The 19,630-nt window shown below is 43.5% G+C and overlaps 1 long non-coding RNA gene and 1 other non-coding gene across 2 annotated transcripts in view; both read left to right on the forward strand.

Annotated features, from left to right (window-relative positions):
* The window catches only part of MIR4527HG (MIR4527 host gene), a 308,827-nt gene that overhangs the window by 88,867 nt on the left and 200,330 nt on the right, over positions 1-19,630 (forward strand). The window lies entirely within an intron of this gene.
* Positions 5,906-5,975, forward strand: MIR4527 (microRNA 4527). The gene has a single exon (NR_039753.1). It is a non-coding gene; the product is annotated as a microRNA 4527 (primary transcript).

Below are 19,630 nucleotides of genomic sequence, written 5' to 3' on the forward strand. Positions count from 1 at the left end.
ATAGCTGATAGCCAATACCACAGTTCATTCTAGTAAGAGTGCTTCCACAATGACATTAAAATGTGATATCTATGCACCCAGGTCTCTGATGATTCAGATCAGTTCAGTAAACATTTTATAATATTTGGAACAAGGTCCTTAAATTGATCCTTATATGAAGCCTATGAACTCTTGATACAGCATGCAAATTTTTGAGCACATGTTTATGTACATTCTTCTGGGGTGACAGTCCATAATTTCTCCCTCAAAGTTCCAAACCACTAAATTAGTGAAATAGCTGGGCTAGATCTGCTTAGACTATTTCTTACCTATCAATCTTCTGCTCCATGTTGCTTGGTCAGGAGTTTGGGGCTATGCTATTTAATGAAATCCATATACATGGAATCAGATACTTGATGCTGCAGGTTAAGATGGTCAATTGCATTGGGCTAGAGTTTATGACTCCCAGTGAAAGTTTAGCTGCTCAATGAACATGCATGTTTGAACCCAAGGCCAGAGCTGTTGCACTAAGTGTTTATAGAAGAAATAAACAGAAAGGACAACACTTCATAAAAGTGACAAGGGCCAGAACAACCAAGCAGCCATCCAAGCCATTGACTGTGGAGTACTGCAGACTCAGTCAACACCTGAAGACACAGAGCTGGAGCCAACAGAGAAGGGAAGGAATATGGAAGCTCTGAAAGGAAGCATTCCCCTGATCTGGGTTGCCTTTAATCAGGTTGATTAATAGGAGTCAGTAAATAAACTCTAATCAAAAGATGCCCTAAACCCTGGAGAACTCTCATGCTGTCTCTCTTTTTTGGATTAATTTTTTTTCCTAGTAGAGATGAAAAAGGAGCCATTATCTAAATGAGGCTGGGTAAGATGATTAGATGTTATTTACAGACAGGGCATGAAATCATCCACTGGACCCTGTGTGTGCTTAGCAAGACATTATTTTGTTATAAGTGTCATTGTTTTTATAGTTGCAAAGGGATGCCTCCGGTGTGGTGAGGAGGGATTCCCCTTATTTCAGTAATCGCTGATTATAGGAACTAGAAAAGTCAGTCATTTCCAATACAGCAATACTCAGGGGGCCTGTATCTAATGCAAACCACAGGTTTTTCAATCAATTGATCAGCAGATATGTATTGATCGATTGCCTACTATGTGCATGGTACAGAGAAGATTCATGAGAAGTAGATGTGGAGTACAGCCCAGCCTCCAGGAAGCTTTCTTGCAATGCAGTGTGACAGGCAGTGCTTCCCTGACTTTAATGTGCAGATTAAAATGCAGATTCTGATTCAAGAGGTCTGAGGTGGGGCCCAAGAATCTGTATTCCTAACAAACTGGAGCAAGGACTACACACTTGACACACTTTGTTTTTTTTTGTTTTTTTGTTTTTGGCAGGTTCTTATTCTATTGCTCAGGCTGGAGTGCAGTGGCTCAATCACAGCTCACTGCAGCCTCGACCTCCTAGGCTCAAGGGATCCTCCTACCTTAGCCTCTGGAGTAGCTGGGACTAAAAGTGTACACCACCATGCTCAGCTAATTTTGTAAATTTTTTTTTTTTTTTTGTAAAGACGAGGTCTTCCTATGCTGCCCAGTCTGATCTTGAACTCCTCAAGTGATCCTTCCGCTTTGGCGTCCCAAAGTACTGGGATTATAGGCATGAGCCACCTCAACCAGCCTAGGACTACATATGTTGAGTAGCCAGGTGGGAGACTACAGATTGCCATGATGAAAAGCTGGGAGGTGTGGGCTGTCGGTAAAGCTCTTCTGACACTCACCACCTGTGCAAACTTGGCCAAATTGCTTCATCTTGAACCTCAACTTTCTTTGACATAAACCAGAGGTCTCTTTGGGCAGCTGGTGCCCTGCACAACTCCCCGACGGGCACACCAATATGGGCTACAGGTGAATGGCATCCTCTAGAGTTGTGTGGTACACAACCTCACCAAATGTATGCAGAGTTCTTGAAAGGGCTGGATTAGACAGTGGTTGCCAACCCTGGCTGCACAATACCATCATCTGCTAAGATTTAAAAATGTCGATACCTGCCCCTGCCCCCTGTGATTCTGACATAATTGTCCTAGGATGAGACCTGGGCCTTGGTACTGTTTTCGTTTTTCCTTTTTTTCCTGGATAGATAGATGGAAAGAAGGGTTGTTTCTTTGCTCCCCAGAGATTATGAGATGCTGCTTAAGGTCCGTCCCAGCTTGAGGTTCTGTGACTCTTAGACTGTGCCCACAGAACTCTAAGATTGTTTAACTCTGGGAGACCAGAGAAGGGAAAGATCGGTACAGAACAAGGAGAGCCTGTGGTTTTGCTGGAAAAAGTCGGTTTAAACAAAGAGACTGGGATGGAGAAGCTATCCTAGGTGGACTGTGTGAATGTTAGTGAGGCTTCTGTTGATGGAACACATTTCTATTTGGGTTGGTACTGGGAATTGTTCTGTGAAGTGTTAATTGGTAGAGAAAAATAGCAATATCCAAGAATGATAATCACACATAATAATGAGGGCTTGTGTATTGGCCTGTTCCCATGCTGCTAATAAAGACATACCTGAGACTGGGTAATTTATAAAGGAAAGAGGTTTTATTGACTCAAAGTTCAGCATGGCTGGGGAGGCCTCAGGAAACTTAGAATTATGGTGGAAGAGGAAGCAAACACGTCCTTCTTCACACAATGGCTGGAAAGAGAAGTGCCTAGCAAAAGGGGGAAAAGCCCCTTATAAAATCATCAAATCCTGTGAGAACTCATTATCATGAGAACAGCATGGAGGTAACCCCCCACATGATTCAATTACCTCCCACTGGGTCCCTCCTATGACACGGGATTATGGGAACTACAATTCAAGATGAGATTTGGATGGGGACACAGCCAAACCATATCAGCTTAGAAGGGAAAACAGGGGGTGGCCAGGGAATGAGGCATATGACAGAGCCCTGATTTAGACTTGGGGGGCTTGAGGATCTAGACTGGGGGCTTGAGGAAAAGGCAACAAAGCTGAGAAGAGCAGTGAGGAGGAGCACCTCCTTCTGTCCTAGATCCTGCTTAAGGCTTTGCGGAGTCCTCTTCATCCAGCTCAGGAGAGTCCTGAGAACATGGGGTGAGTGTCAGGAAGGTGAGGGCAGGCCAAAGCCTTCTGAGAGGTCCTCGGCTTTTCCCCAGAGGTGCCTGCTCTGTGTCCTGCCTGTGTATGGGCTGCCTCCAGGACCCCATGAACACATCTGGTTAGAACTGGCTGACTGAGTTTGGTCCCCGCTGGCCTTGAAATACATGATCCTGTGAATGTGGGCATTGATTTGAGCCCAAGCACCCAGGAGGCAGCTCCTTTAAGTATTAAATGCACTTTCTACTTTGTCAATCCAGCTTTTCAGTCAAAGCTGTCTTTTCCTATCCTCATCGTCCTCCTGTCTTGTGAGCCTTGGCCTGGAGACTGGCTAGGAGTCCTAGAGGGGCCACCTGGGAGGGGGGGACGATGCATCCCCCTACGCCCTGAATCAGGCTTCACTCTACCTAAATCCCACTCTCCACAGGCATTTTAACTAAAACGGATCCTGCCTGCTGTGAGCAAAAGTAGCCTCCCAAATCTATCCAAGAAGTGTGATTGATAGTGCTGCTGAGGCTTGAGACAAAGAAGCCCTCTCTGGTTTTCATATTAATGCTGGGTTATCTCCTACAGTATTGATTTTTTGTTTGGCTTTTGAAATTTCTCTTCTCTGTTTCTGAGCCATTCCTATAAAAATGAAAGAGGAGGTGAGGGATGATGTCGTCCAGGTTGACAAGCTTTGCTGACTTGCAGTATTAGCTGCTGTTTTCCATTAGGTCTCTCCAAGCCTGTCAACTGCCTCTTCTGGGCAGAAATATATTTAAAATGTGGTATGAAAAGGTCCCCATGTGTCAACAGTAAGAGCCTGCCACCAAGTTTAGTCACTGGATTAATCTTCCAATCCTTAGCATTTGGGTCCTCTTCAAGGAAGCAGCAAAGATTTTGATGGACTCCAGCCTGCTGCTCTCAGTCCTCCTCTCCCTCTCCAAAGACAGCTCAACTTCTGCAAAACTATCAAGGGATGAGGCTGGCCTCAGCGGCTCTCAGCCTCCCTTCATCTCCTCTGTTTCCCCTCAGATATGTCCCACTCCTACTTCTCTCCTCCTCACCCATTCCTGCGCTGAGAGCCACCGTCAACACTTGGGTGTGAATGTCTTCTTAGGCTGTAGAGGGGGATCCTCGCCTATGGGATTTTGCCTTTACTAGGACGTCAGGATTAAGGATGTTAAGCTCTAAACAGTGGAGTTTCATACATCCCTCAGTGGAGAAAGGATGTTTTGGAGGAAAAGCAGAAATGCAGCATTCTCTGAAATCTGAATGTTACCCTCCACCTCTGCTTTCCTGGTAGCACCTTCATCAGATTGGAGGGCATATAGGGCCAATGCGGGTGGCATGGCTGCATCTCACATCCTTGGGCCCTTCATTCAGTTAGTCAACAAGTGTTTGAATTGAAGTGAGAACCCATTTGTTTACAATGTTACGCTGGACCTACAACCCTTCTTTGTTAGAGTCTTTATCTCTTTAGCTATTCATTCTGGATTCCAAAAAGAATTATGCAGGCCTAGTCCCAGACACTGTGCTAGTGCCGGGGGTGCAGGGATGGGCAAGAGAGTCAGGCTCTGTCCTTGTGGAGCTGTGAAAGTTGGAAACCTGGGAGTCTCCTTTGCCTCTGCTACCTTTCCACTAGCACATCCAGTTATCTTCTGTCTCCCTGCCACTGGCCTTGACCACTCTCCTCTAAAGCTTCTAGAACAGTGCTTATCACGTACGGTAGACGAACAGTACATGTTGGTCTATCATAGTCCCCACCACACCCCTAAGCCATGATTTACATCCAAGTCTGACCCCTATCTTGCTCAGAAGTCTCCAATGAATCCCCCTTTTCTATGGTGTAAGATGGAAATGGCCTTGAATGGCACATAGGCCATTCAGGATTTGGTCCCTGCCTATCTGTCCAACCTCATCTCCTGCATTAGTCAGGCTTCTCCAGATAAACAGAACCGATAGGATATGCATGTATGTTGAAGCCTTGGGGGCACTCTGCTTTACCCAAAGTTCAACAAGTTAAATGTTAATCTTATCTGAAAACACCTTCCAAGTGAACACGTGAAATTAACCATCACACCCCCTTTGCCCTGTATGTTCTGGCAATATTGCACCTCTTTTTAGCTTCCAAAAATGGTCCACTATCCTGCCTCTGGGCCTTTGCACACACTGTTCCTTTTGCCAGACTTATCTTTCCCCATTCTTGTCCACTCAACAGACACCAATTCTCACACTAATCCAGCCTCAGCTGCAAAGCACTCTCTCTCAGTGACCCCTTGGACCCTCACAGAGAGATTTGGGTGCTCTGTGTTGTTATTCCCATTCTATTTTGCACTTAGTTTTGTCACATCATTTATCATGTTAATGTTGGCTGGCATATCTCCCTTCCCACTGGGAAGACAAGGGCTTATCTTTTTGTTTTTGTCTAAGTCAAGCCTTATGTTGGGTATTGGGGAAAATCTCTTGGGCATTACAACCTTAACCAATGATCTTATTATAATCATCCTACCACCTCATTTTAATTACTTATAAAGTAGAGGATTGAACTGATAGAGCAGTAATCACCAATTGCTTAACTTCATAGTCGTTCTCCCTCTACTTCATGTCATAGAGCTCTTAGCTGAGCCCATGGCCTCCTGGAAGTAAAACTACATTTTCCAGCAGGCTGTGCAGCTGTATGTGGCCATGTGACTGTACATCATGGCTAGTGGGATGTGAATGGGTCCTCAGCACCTTCTGGGAGACTTTCTTTTCTGTCATTTCCTCCAGCCAGCTGCCTGGAATCATAAGCCTACTATCTTGGACCATGAAGATGTGAAGCAGAGGCCAGAAGTGGTCTGCAAAGAGATGACTGTGAATCCAAGATCCACATCAGCTCTGTGCTGCCTACATCTGACTTCTCCGGGAACAAAAAGAACAAACACCACTACTCTGTTTAAGCCACCATGTTTAGAATCTTTGTTGCTTGCAATTGAGCCTAATCATAAGGATATATCTTGAGAAGTGCTTTCCAAATTCTCTGAGGGAAGTCAGGAGACATCATGAGCAAAGAGAGTTTAAAGAGGCTGAGTTAGCCCTCCTCACTCACTGCCATCCCAACCCAATTGTGTCTGTGCCACTTCTGTGTATTTTACCTGTTGACTTAGAGTTTGTTTGAAGATGGAAGGACTAGAAGCTCTCCCAAGTCCCATCCATTTCTGACATTCTAAACATCTGTCCATATGTATAACCATTATAAAAGGAAAGAATTCCATAAAGAGGAGGCGGATCTCCCTATCATGTGCACATAGGCAAACATGGGCATCGATGGTCATAGCCTTCATTCCTGATGGTGGAATTTCAGGCATGGTGGCAGGTGCTGGAGAAGATCTCTGTCTCCTTTGTCTATGTCTCAGGCCTGCCTGAGTGGCGTCCTCTTATTTCCTGCCCACCCTGTGCTACCCATCCCAGAGCTGGGTAGGTAGCAGGTATTTAGGGGATGTTGACTGGATATGCTGAATGAACATGGGCTGAATGAGCCCATGCTGGCATCTCCATACTAACTTTTGTACATTAAGTGCTCTCACTGGCTGTCTCAAATGAGCTGTGGGTTTGTTTCTTGGCAGTTCTGTAGTTGTGGCCTTATTTCTTCCCATTCTTACGCCAGGAGTCTTTGTGGCAGGCTGGAAATTCTGCCCAGCACCAAGCCCATAGCAGAGACAGCAGACATCGGAAACAGGCTGGACCTGCAGTGGCCGCGCCTGTGTGGTGCATGCGTATGCATTCATGGTTTCTCCTCTTCTGTCTCTCCGGGGCTGGTGTCACTCTGCCCAGGAGTTCACCCAGGCGGCTCAGAAGGGTGGCTGCTGTGGAACGTGATAAATTTAGAGCACCAGGAAGTTGGGAAGCTGCAGCCATCAGCAGCTGAAGCAGACGGGGGCAGAACTGAATGGTCTCTTCTGGGTTTTTAATGAAGCCGCCCTAACTCCCCAGTCCCTGTGGCTTTTATCGGGTGCTATTAGTAACCCTTTTGTACAGATGGTAAAGCAGAAGCACAAAGAGGTTCAGCAGCTTGCGTGTGACCCCTTAGCCTCAAAGTGACTGTCCAGTTCATTTTTCACCCCTACTTATCTGTTGATCCAGCAGGTGTGGAAGTGCTTTGCAAACTGTAGGATGTAATCTATGTGGAAGGAATTGCTGCTGTTAGTGCTCGTCTTTCAGAGAGAGCAGTGGCAGTTGGCACCACCCCTTATAAGCTGAGACCTACTTCATCTTCCTGGGTCCCATTCATGCAGCCAAGATGGAGTGAGTGTGTGAGCAAATGTGCATGTGTGTATAAGCATGTGTGTATACACGCCTGTGTGAGGGTACCCTGCCTGCAGCTTTAGCCGAGGCTGTCATTTCTGATGCAGGAGAACCTGCACTTTGCCCCATCTCCACAGTTCGTTATTTTCCAGCTGGGCGCCTGTCACCAGCACTCGGGAAGCACGTGTCAGCTGGGCCTGAAGGATGGCTTAGCCAGTCGAGGGGCTCTGGCAGGGGTGGGGACCGTGACCTGGGGCCAGGAGTAGGTGGGGCAAGGAAGTCTGCCCAGTTGCCCTAGTGATGTGGGGGTGGCCCCAGGAGACGTGCCTTGCCCCTGCTCCTACCCCGGGGCTCTGCTTCCTGCCTGTCAGGTGAGTATGAGGGAGATGGGCTGATTCGATGGGGGTAGAGAGGCGGGCCACGTGAGCTCTGCCCTGGGGTCAGCCTCCATTCATCACTTTCTCTGACACCTTTCTGCTGCAGCTTCTCTCTTTCGGTGAAAGGGAAGGTAGGAGGAGGGGAAGGTAAGGAGGGGAAACTTCCAGAGCCTTCAGGGCCTGAGGGGTTGGTGACATGGGGATGAGGCTTAGATTTAGGACCAGGGATCTGGGCCAGCCTTAGAAAAATTAGTGAAGGGGCAACACCTGGGCCCAGGAGGCCAAAGACCTGGGTGTCCTAGCAGTGTTGCCTCAGAGTTCTTCACAGTGGTCCTGCAGCCAAAGCCTGAGCTCCAGCCTGGGCGCCCATAAGCTAGGCGCCCATATAAAAGGCACTGGGAAACTTCACCTCTCTGTGCCTTAGTTTCCTCATCTGTAGAAGGGAAATATTAATAGTCTCTGCCTTATAGGGCATTATGAGGGCTAAATGACTTAGAATGGGACTTGGCCTTAGGAGGGATTTGATAAAGGGTAGCTGCTATTATCACTGTTGTTACTTTGGTTGAGGCTGTACCCTTAACCCACCATGGAGACCTTGGTCAAGAGGCTCTCATCTCTGTAGGCCTAACGTTGGCTGCATAAGCTCCCCAAGCCCTCTCAGCCATTGCTGTATGAGGGGGACAGTAATTCCTTCCCATAAGCCCAGCAACAGAGAGGGGTCCTACATAAGGGACAAGTAGGAAGCAAGGGGGCATTGGTGATGCGATGACTTGGAAAGGCCCTTCCACTGCCTGTGGGAAGAGGTGGTCTGCTTTTGGAACTTCCAGCCTTTTTCATGATCCCCCAATACAGCTCCATCTGTAACCTTCTCCTAGAATTTTTCTTATAGCCAGTTGTGAGATTGGGGACCAAGCTGACAAGATAATGCCTTCAGGGTGAGCCTTGTTCTGCACATGGCATTTTCAAGGGAGATCTGGAAGACTGAAAAATCCTTGGAGGCCTGATAGGCTGGCATGCTAACAGTGGCATTCCAGACCTTGTGGTAGGTACAGTTGGGGCAAGCTGGGTTTTTCTAGGGAAGAGCCTGTTCAATGCCTCCCTAATCATACCTTATAGGCAGCTGATCTTCAGGCATGCCCATGCTTGGATGCCTGTAGCTATTTTACCTGTTTGCTTTCCTCCTTCTCTCTCTCCCTCCTCCACCATTTCCTTCCTTCCCTCCCTTCCTTCCCTCCCTCTCTTCCTCCTTTTCTTCCTTCTTTTCTCTCTCTCTTTTATCTTGGATATGTGATATTAATATGCCAGGTAGTTGTCCTAAAACCCAATCTGGGTTAAACTGAACTCCAACTGCCCATGCATGTGTGCACGTGTTTGCATGTGACTTACCCCGAAGCTTGGTAGGCTTTTGGAGAACACTGCACTTATATCCATCATTTTGTAGAATAAACTGAGGATTGGGAAGGTGGAAGATTTCCCCAAAGCCACATGGCCAGTTACAGGTAGGGCTGAATAGAACCAAGGTCTCTTTCCTCCTGTAAGTATCTTTCCAGGATATCAAGTTCCTCATTTCATAAATGAGAAAACAGCAGCCCAGAGGGGTTGAGTGACTTACCTAAGGCCACACAGCCAGGGCGTTTATCTGTCCTCTCTACCCATGATTCTCCAGAGATTCCAGTTTTCCCTAAGTGCCTATAGACTGACAGTGAGGGCCCTTGGGTAAAGTGCCCCATTAGCAGGGAAATGGCTAATTTCCCCTGGATTCCCTCTGACTCTCTAGGTTTGAGCAGACTCTGCTTCTGAGGGCTGAGTATTTATTTCCTTCTGGAGTCAAGCAGCCTTGCTGAAGTGCAGACTTTGATGTGGGTCCTCTGCCCTCCTCCCTATGTGACTGCCCTGCTTCCCCAGCCTTTCCAGCCTGGAGTGCACACCAAGCCTCCCTCTAGCTCACAGGCTCAACTGCAATCTGGAACAGGCCCTGTTCCAGCCTGCCACAGGCTCTGGGCTGTACATGTTCATAGTGGATAATTTTATTTAATTCTCCAATGACCCTCTAATAATAATATTATTTTTTATAATTTACAAGTGTAAAAATCAAGGCATAAAGAGTTTTAATGTAATCTGTTCAAGAGCATGCTGTAAATGAGTGTTAGTAGGTGGTAGAACCAACATATCAATTTATGCTATTCTCCAGCCTCTTTTTTATTTTTTGTACTTATTTATTCATAATTTCAACTTTTATTTTTAGATTCAGGGAGTATATGTGAAAGTTTGTTGCATGGGTATATTGTGTGATGCTATGTGTTGGGGTACAAATAATCCCATTACCCATGTAGTGAGCCTAGTACCCAACATGAGTTTTCCAACCCTTAACCACCTCCATCCCTCTAGTAGCCCCCAGTGTCTATTGTTGCCATCTTTATGTTTATGAGTACCCAGTATTTACCTCCCGCTTATAAGTGAGAATATGCTGTATTTGGTTTTCTGCTCCTGCATTAATTCATTTAGAATTATGGCCTCCAGCTGCATCCATTTTCTGCAAAGGAAATAATTTTGTTCTTTCTTATGGCTGCATAGTATTCTGGGGTGTGTATATGCCACATCTTCTTTATCCAATCCACTGCTGATAGGCACCTAGGTTGATTCCATGTCTTTGCTATTGTGAATAGTGCTGCAGTAAACATGCAAGTGCAGGTGTCCTTTTGGCAGAAGGATTTCTTTTCCTTTGGGTATATACACAGTAATAGGATTGCTGGGTTGAATGGTAGTTCTATTTTCAGTTATTTGAGAAATCTCTGAACTACTTTCCACAGGGGCTGAACTGTTTTACATTCCCACCAACAGTGTATAAGCATTCCCTTTTCTCTGTAGCCTCACTAGCATCTGTTGCTTTTTGACTATTTAATAGTAGCCATTCTGAATGTGTATGAGATGGTATCTCATTGTGGTTTTGATTTGCATTTCTCTGACGATTAGTGATGTTGGGCATTTTTTCATATGTTTGCTGGGCCCTTGTATGTCTTTTTTTGGGAAGTGTCTGTTCATGTCTTCTGTTCACTTTTTAATGGAGTTTGTTTTTGCTTCTTGAATTGTTTAAGTTCCTTACAGATTCTGGATATTAGGCCTCTGTCAGATACATAGTTTGTGAATATTTTCTCCCATTTTGTAGGTTGTCTGTTTACTCTGTTGATAGTTTCTTTTGCTGTGCAGAAAGTTCTTTAGTTTAATTAGGTCCAGCTTGTCAATTTTTATTTTTGTTGCAATTGCTTTTGAGGACTTAGTCAGAAATTATTTCCCAAGGCTGAGGTACAGAATGGTGTTTCCTAGGTTTTCTTCTAGGATTCTTACAGTCTGTGGTCTTATATTCCAATATTTAATTCATCTTGAGTTAATTTTGTATATGGTGATATGTAGCGGTCCAGTTTCATTCTTCTGCATATAGCTAGCCAGCTATTCCAGCAGCATTGATGGAATAGGGAGTCCTTTCACCATTGCTTATTTTTGTTGACCTTGTTGAAGAGCAGATGGCTATAGGTGTGGAGCCTTATGCCTTGGTTCTCTATTCTGTTCCATTGGCCTATGTGTCTCTTCTTATACTAGTACCATGCTGTTTTGGTTATTGTAGCTTTATAGTATAGTTTGAAGTCAGATAGTATGATGCCTTCAGGCTTGTTCTCAGAATTAAAAATAAAAACCATATTATCATCTTAATATACACAGTATAAGCCTTCAATAAAATCCAACGTCCATTCATGATAAAAACTCTCAACAAACTAGGCATCAAGGAACATACCTCTAAATAGTGAGAGCTATCTATGATAAATCCAAAGCCAATATCATACTGAATGGGCAAAAGCTGGAAGCATTCCCCTTGAGAACTGGAACAAGACATAGATGCCCACTCTCACCAATCCTATTCAACATGGTATTGAAAGTCTTAGCCAGAGCAATTAGGCAAGAGAAGGAAATAAAAGGCACCTAAATAGGAAAAGAAGAAGTCAACTATCTCTCTTTGCTGATGATATGATTCTATACCTAGAAAACCATAAAGGCTCCATCAAAAAGCTCCTGGAATTGATAAACGACTTCAGTAAATTTTTAGAATACAAGGTCAATGTATAAAAATCAGTAGCATTTCTATACACCAATAATGTTCAAGCTGAGAGCCAACCAAGAAGGCAATCACATTTACAATAGCGACCAAAACTAAAATACCTAGGAATATGTCTAACTAAAGAGGTGAAAGATCTCTACAAGGAGAATTACAAAACACTATTGAAAGAAATCATAGATGACACAAACAAATGGAAACACATCCCATGCTCATGGATTGGAAGAATCAATATCATAAAAATGACCATACTGCCCAGGGTGATCTACAGATTCAACACTATTCCTATCTAATTACCAGCATCATTTTTCACAGAAATAAAAACTATTCCAAAATTCATATGGAACCAAAAAAGAGCCCAATCCCAGACTCTTTTTAATGGTTTTCTAGTACTTGACCCCAGCCCAAGATGGCATTGCAGCTTGCTCTGTTTAGCTCTTGGCTGGTGGTGTTCCTGCTAGGTTTTATTTTTTATTTTTTGGAAAGGTTTTAGAGTTTTGCTATTTTACATTTAGGTGTTTAATCCACATGGAATTTATTTTTCCATATGATATGCAGCAGATATCTCGTCCTGAGGCCTTGCAGTCATTCTGCAGTTCTGCTGTCTAGTCTTCTGACTGCCTGGAGCAGACACCAAAACCCATTTGTATTTGTTTAGACATTGGCTGGTGTTGTCTCTGCAAGTTTCTCACAGGGACCTAGAACAACTGTTGGCTAAGGGCAGAGCCCATATTTGTCCTGACAGCCAGTCCTAATCATGGAATTTAAATGTCAGAAAGGTTCTTTAAAACAGTGTACTTCAAACACTCTCATGTTGTTTTCTTTTCGCAAGCAAGCTTTATTGTACTTTTCTTCAAAAGTGACAACTCACATTAGAGAAAGCTCAGAAAACATAAGGTAAGCAAAATAAATAAATAAACACAACTACTCGTAATCCTACCTCCTCCAGAGATAATTCTGATAAATGTTTTGGTCTATATTCTTTTCACCCTTTAAAAAATGAAATATTTTACTTGAAATTATGACAGTACAGGGGATAATATAGAAGACACTCATATGTCCACTACTGAGGTGTGACAGGATGTTTTATTTGCTACTCATTTTACTAAATGAAACGTAATATAATTGAGGCTTCCTTTGTTTCCCACTCCACACTGCCACCATTTTCTCCTTTCTGGAGGTAACTCCAATTTTGAATTCAGAGAGCATCTTTCCTGCCCAGTTTTTATACTTTGCCACATTGATAAGTTTTCATCCATAACAATGTAGGGTTGCTTTGTGTGAATTTTACGTGAATGCCACCATCCAGTTCACATAATCCTCCAACTTTCTGCTTTTCCTCAGTATTACATTTTTGAGATTAACTGTGGTGTTACTTGTAGATCTAGTGAATTAGTTTTTACTGCTGTATAGGGTTCCATTGTATGATTATACTCCTATACTATACTATAGCAGTACTATACTATAGTGTCATATAGTATGCTATGTTACTATACTATGCTTTTCCAGTCTACTGGTGATCCAGTTGACAACAAGAATTATCAATGTCTGATTGTAACAAATGATGCTGCAAGGAATATATTTGTCTAGATCTCCTTGTATAGAGAGAGAAATTGCTGAGTCATGAGATATTAACAGTTTCAGCTTTACCAGTTATTGTTCAAATAGCTGTGTCCATTTACATACCTATTTGAAGCATGTGAGAGTCTCCATGCCATTACACCTTGGATAAAACTAGGTATTATAAGGCTTTTCAATTTTTTCTAATCTGCTGGGTATAAACTGGTATCTTATTGCCATTTTAAATTGAGGCCTCTCTAATTATTAATGAGGTTGAACATCTCATAAGTTTGTCAATCATTCTCCTCTTTTGTGGATTGCATTTAATGTATTTAATGTATTTGTCTTTCTAATATATTTGTAAAATTCTTAGATATTCTGGCTACTCTTTCATTTTTCATCATGAGGGCTGTAGATATCTTCTTCCAGGTCGTAGCTTCATTTTTCACTTTGTTAGGGTGTGTGTGTGTGGGTTTTAAGGTGCTTCAGTTTGTCAGATGTTTCCTTTATGGTTTTTGCTTTTCACATTTTGTTAAGAAAGTTCTTCCTAAACTAAACCCATACAGATATACTTCTATAGTTTTTCTTTCTTTTTTTGGAAAGCTTTTAGAGTTTTGCTATTTTACATTTAGGTGTTCACGTGGAATTTATTTTTCTGTATGATATGCAGCAGAAATTTAATTTCATCTTCTTCCATTTGACTGGCCAATTGTCTCAGTACTGTTTCAACTCTTTGACATTACATATGACAAAACAGAGGTCCAGAGAGGTGGAGGGACTTGCTTACGGTCACACAATGACTTTGTGGTGAGATTGTGACAGGGAACAAAGTTTTCTTAACTCCCAACCCAGTGCGCCCACACAACGATACTACTGTGTTACAAAATTTTATCTTGGACTATTTTCTACTATCCTAATATAGAAATCCATAAATATGATTATAAATGTCTTGAAAGTGGGGATTCTGTCCTTTTCTCCTGCCACCTCTATGTACTTACTTAGTGCAAGGCCGAATATCTGGCAGGCACTCAGGAAGACATTGCTAAAAATAAATCAGTTAATTCAACAGATTGATTCTATAATAATCAGTTCTTTTAAATTCAGCTCTTTGTTTCATCTCATATAGGTTTCTATATTTAGACATATCCCTTCATTCAACAAACATTTACTGAATACCTATCATGTTCCTGGCACTGTGTCAGCTGCTAGAGATTAAAAGAGAGGAGTAAGATGTGTTTCCTGCTCTCAAGGAGCTTAAAGTGTAGTGAGAGAGACTGAAAAGTCAACCAGTAATGGTATGAACGTGCTATTAAACAGTATGTAATGGGAGACAGGAGGAGATAAAATCTGCTAAAAAATCAGGAAGGCTTTCTGATAGAGGAGACACTTGAGCCTTTAAGAGTGAGGAAGTGTGATTCATTTGCCAAGGGTGGAGAAGGTGTAATATTCAGAAGAAACATCATGAGCAAAGGCAGAAATCTAAGGTACTCAGCCACAGTTCACTGTGACATGAACATAAAATAATTAGTCAACCAAATGACATTTGTTCGTTTTTAAAAGGCCCCTGCTTCCTGGGTGTTTCTAGCCTAACTCAGATTTGACCACAGCCAAACACGGCATCCCAAATGCTGCCTGCCTTGTCATTGACTAAACCATGTGTATTTAGGGGCTCTATTTTGTAATTTTCCCTTGTCTAAAGTGGACACCAACTTTTTGTGGAGGAGTATGGCTTTCTCCTTGTTTTATGTTTGTAAATTGACCTTCCCATTTTTGCCATCATTTCTGTTACCAGTGCTATTATTCTGGGCCTCTCTCATGCAGCCAGAATAACATGTGAGACACCAGCCTGGAGTGACAGTGTGCCTGACAAAAACAGAAATAGCCCAGCTCATATTATTTCCAAAAGAATTATCCCCTGGAGGTGATTTTTAATTTGGGGGTTTTGCTGCAAAATGGAAACCTGACTACTAAGGTTGCTTTGCAACCCAAATGCTTCTCCTACCAGTCAATTATCAAAATGAGACTTGCTGGATACTGTAGCAAGTCTTTCCGGGCTTTCTCCTTTAATGGGTCAAGTCCAAGTTGCCTCCTTTATTGGGAAGAGCTGGGGGCAACTGCACAGTTTAATTTGCTAGTTAGGGGGAAGGGAAGATGGCAGGCGGGGTAGGGAGGGGAAGGTTCTCACATGCAAATAAAGAAAAGCACAAAAGGTAGGCAGAGCAGCCCTAAATTAGAGCTAGTTACCTCAGCTGGGCAGCAGTGACGCGATGGTGGTTGGTTGTAAGGGATTAAGAATTCAACCTGGGAATAAGATTAGGGTTTATGCACAGCAGAAGCAAACTTGCACAAAGATTAATTGGTATCTATTGGGTACTGGTATGAGGCATTTATGCTATTTTGGTATTTTTTTGGGACTTGAGGGAAAAAAGAAAGGAGATAGAGACAGAAGCAAAGTTGAATGTGGAAATCCAGAGAGGCCTTTTCTTGGTATTAGGATTTCATGAAATTTTACTCCCAGCCACAGCAGGGAGAAGGAGGTGGCCTCAGAGCCTTGATGGGCTTGAAAATGAATTCTGTGTTGCCTCCATTGTGAGCCTTGCATGTGCTATTTAAACTTGACATGTCATAAATCCAATAGCAGCAAACAGAAGGGCACTGGCTTGCTGTCCACTTTTATTTGCACGGCTGCAGGAAATGATGTTAGCATGTGAAAGTGGTAGGCACTGCAAACCACTCAGTCTGAGGGACTCGGGGGCTGGACCTGGGGACCCTAAGATGCAGGCTTGGGGGCCACTGTGTGATTTAGGGCATCCAGCCTACTGTGTCTAGATGGCATCTGCCTGACTCTGGCTTAGGATCAGGGCATCCCCCTACCTCCCAGAACAACCCTTACTTCAGGGGAATTAGTGTATGTGTTTCTAAGCTGTAATAAAACTTCGTGGTTTCCATCTGTGTATAATCAGCTATCTTTTACTTAGCTCCTTGGGGACAGGACCATGTCTTGTTCATGCCTTTGTCCTCAGTGTGACCACAGCATGAGACAGTTGGTGTTTGTCTAGATCATATTTGTTAAATGGATGAAATGGATGGAAAAGTTGGGGCTGCACCAGAGCTTTCCATGGGGCAGATGTCGTCAGTCTGTATTGGATTTAGCAGTCATTTAAGTGCAGTGTTGACTTAATAATTTGAGGAGCTCTAAAAGACCTTCCTGGTCAGGTGTGGTGGCTCACACCTGTAATCCCAGCACTTTGGGAGGCCGAGGTGGGTGGATCACTTGAGGTCAGTTTGAGACCAGTCTGGCCAACATGGTGAAACCCTGTCTCTACTAAAAATAAAAAAAAATTAGCCAGATGTGGTGGCGGGCTCCTGTAATCCCAGCTACTCAGGAGGCTGAGGCGGGAGAATCACTTGAAACTGGGAGGCGGAGGTTGCAGTGAGCCGAGATTGCACCACTTACTTGAGCCTGGGTGATCGAGTGAGACTCTGTCTCAATTTAAAAAAAAAAAAAAAGAGGACTTTCCTGTGTCCAACATCTCATTCTTGGCCTCCTTGTCTGCTTGGACTTTCCCCCTTAGTCCAATACCTCGTGCATATCAAGAGTCTCCGTTTCATTTGTGCCTCTTCATTTTTCAGTAACTAACAAAAACGTCTTGTTTTAGAATCCAAGGACTGTAAATCAGCTCTAGGTTTTGTATGGGGCCTAATGTTTTCTTTTGATAGCATGAGCAACTGATATGGTTTGGATATGTGTTCCCACCCAACTCTCATATTGAAATGTAATCCCCAATGCTGGAGGTGGGGCCTGGTGGGAGGTGATTGGATAATAGGGGCGGTTTCTCATTAATGGTTCAGCACCACCCTCCCAGTGCTGTTCTCATGATATCATGAGATCTGGTTGTTTTAAAAGAGTGTAGCACCAGCCTGCTCTCTCCCTTCCTCCTGCTCCAACCATGTGAGGTGCTGCTTACCCTTTGCCTTCTGCTGTGATTGAGTTTCTTGAGGACTCCCCAGAAGCTGAGCAGATACCAGCATCATGCTTCCTGTAGAGCCTGTGGAACTGTGAACCAATTAAACCTTTTTTTTTTTTTTTTTTTTTAATAAATTACTCAACCTCAGGTATTTCTTTGTAGCAGTTTGAGAACAGACTAATACAGCAACATTGTACTAAGGAAGAGTCCAGCTCAGAAGAAAGTTTCTAAGATTTTCCTTTTCCTTTTCTCTTCTGTGCAATCAGAGAATGCACTGAAAGGTCACTCCTCAGATAAGTAGCACATTACGGAGGTCAGCGTGGCTGGTCCTGGGAGTGTCAGTATGCACTCTTGCTCTTGAAAGCATGCTTCATTCAAGGACTCAATTTTAACATTTTTAGTGCAACTTCTTATTAAAGCCAACTGTCCTTGAAACATAGAGAGCTGGAAGGACCTTGCAAAGACTTTCAGCTCATTCTCTTTCATCAGTGTTGAATTTTATTATATCATTTAAAGTCCTCAAGATTCTTTAAGAAGATTCCTCAGTCTTCTGGGGGTCTGTCTTCCTTGGCCTCAGACCCCTGTTGGTTTAAATATTCATCTAATTTTCTAATTCCTTATTTTCCAGCTGAAATTCACCCAAAAGGCTTTCTCTGTGTATCAAAATAGTTTGCTTTCATTCCGTCCTTGGGGTCTGGAGAAAGTGGTGGCTGGGATAGAGCCCTGGGGAGATGGGAGGTGGACATGTGTGAAGGGAGCCACATCAAGAAGTTCTCCAATTGGGGTGTCCCTGGTTCCTGTTTCATCCTCCCCACAGTATCCAGAAGCCTCCTTTGCCTTGTTCCCCTCCATGAGGGCAGAGATGTTGGAGGCTGTCAGGGCTTTGAGCACTTGGGCTGGCACCTGAGACTTGAGTGAAAGAAATGAGGAAAATGGAGTGCAGTCCTCAACCAAACCTTCCTGAAATGAAAGGTGTTCTTCTCTTCCTATTATGCTGTGATTAAGGACATTATCCTTAGCAAAATAACTCAGGTACAGAAAACTAAATACCACTAATAATGAGAACAAATGGACACACAGAGGGGAGCAACAGACACTGAGACCTACCTGAGGGAGGGAATGGGTGGAGGGAGACGATCAGAAAAATAAATATTGGGTACTATGCTTAGTACCTGGTTGGTGAAATAATCTGTACAACAACCCCACCCCATTTGAGTTTACCTATATAACAAACCTGCACATGTACCCCCGAACCTAAAATAAAAGTTAAAAAAAATAGCTAGGTAAATTGGGGTTTAAATCTCAGTCCTGACACTTAATAACCATGTGACCCTTTGGCAAATTACATCACCTCTCATGTTCCATTTCCTTACCTGTGAGATAGGAATAGCACCTAATTTATAAACCGTGGGGAGATTATATATAAAGCATTATGTGTTGTGGCTAAGAGCAGTCAAACCATCTGGTAATCCTTGTTCTGCTACTCTTTAGCTTTGAAAATTTGGAAACATCACTGACTCTTTTTATGTTGCAGGTTTATCCTCTGTAAAATGGATGAAAAATAGTGCTTAGCTCATGAGATTATCAAGAGGCAGATGGTGGTTAAGGGTGTAGCCTTCGAAATGAGACTATCTGGATCTGAATCTCAGCTCTGTCATTTCCTAGCTCTGTGGCCTTGGGTAATTCACTTAACCTCTCTGTGCTTCATTTCCAGCATCTTTACAATGAGGAGCATAATAGTACCGTTATGCAGGGTTATTGTAATGATTGAATTAATATAGACAAACCACTTAGAGCACATACTGGCATCTTAAAAGTGCTATATAAGTTTTAGAAATTATCAATGGGCCGGGCGCAGTGGCTCACACCTGTAATCCCAGCACTTTGGGAGGCAAGGCAGGCGGATCACAAGGTCAGGAGTTCGAGGCCAGCCTGGCCAATATGGTGAAACCCTGTCTCTACTAAAAATACAAAAATTAGCCGGACATGGTGTTAGGTGCCTTTAGTCCCAGCTACTTGGAAGGCTCAGGCAGAGGTTGCAGTGAGCCAAGATTGCGCCACTGCACTCCAGCCTGGGCAACAGAGTGAAACTCTGTCTCAAAAAGGAAATTATCATTGAAAAAGTTGAGTGAATGATACAGGCAAGGTTGCTTAAATGGTGTCTGGTACATGCGAAACCCTCAATAACTATTTGCTGAGGCACCTGGAACAGAGTGGGTCTTCATTAAACATTAATTCTCTTTCTCCCCTGTCC

This window comes from Homo sapiens, chromosome 18 (assembly GCF_000001405.40).
Source record: "Homo sapiens chromosome 18, GRCh38.p14 Primary Assembly".
Lineage (NCBI taxonomy): Eukaryota > Metazoa > Chordata > Mammalia > Primates > Hominidae > Homo > Homo sapiens.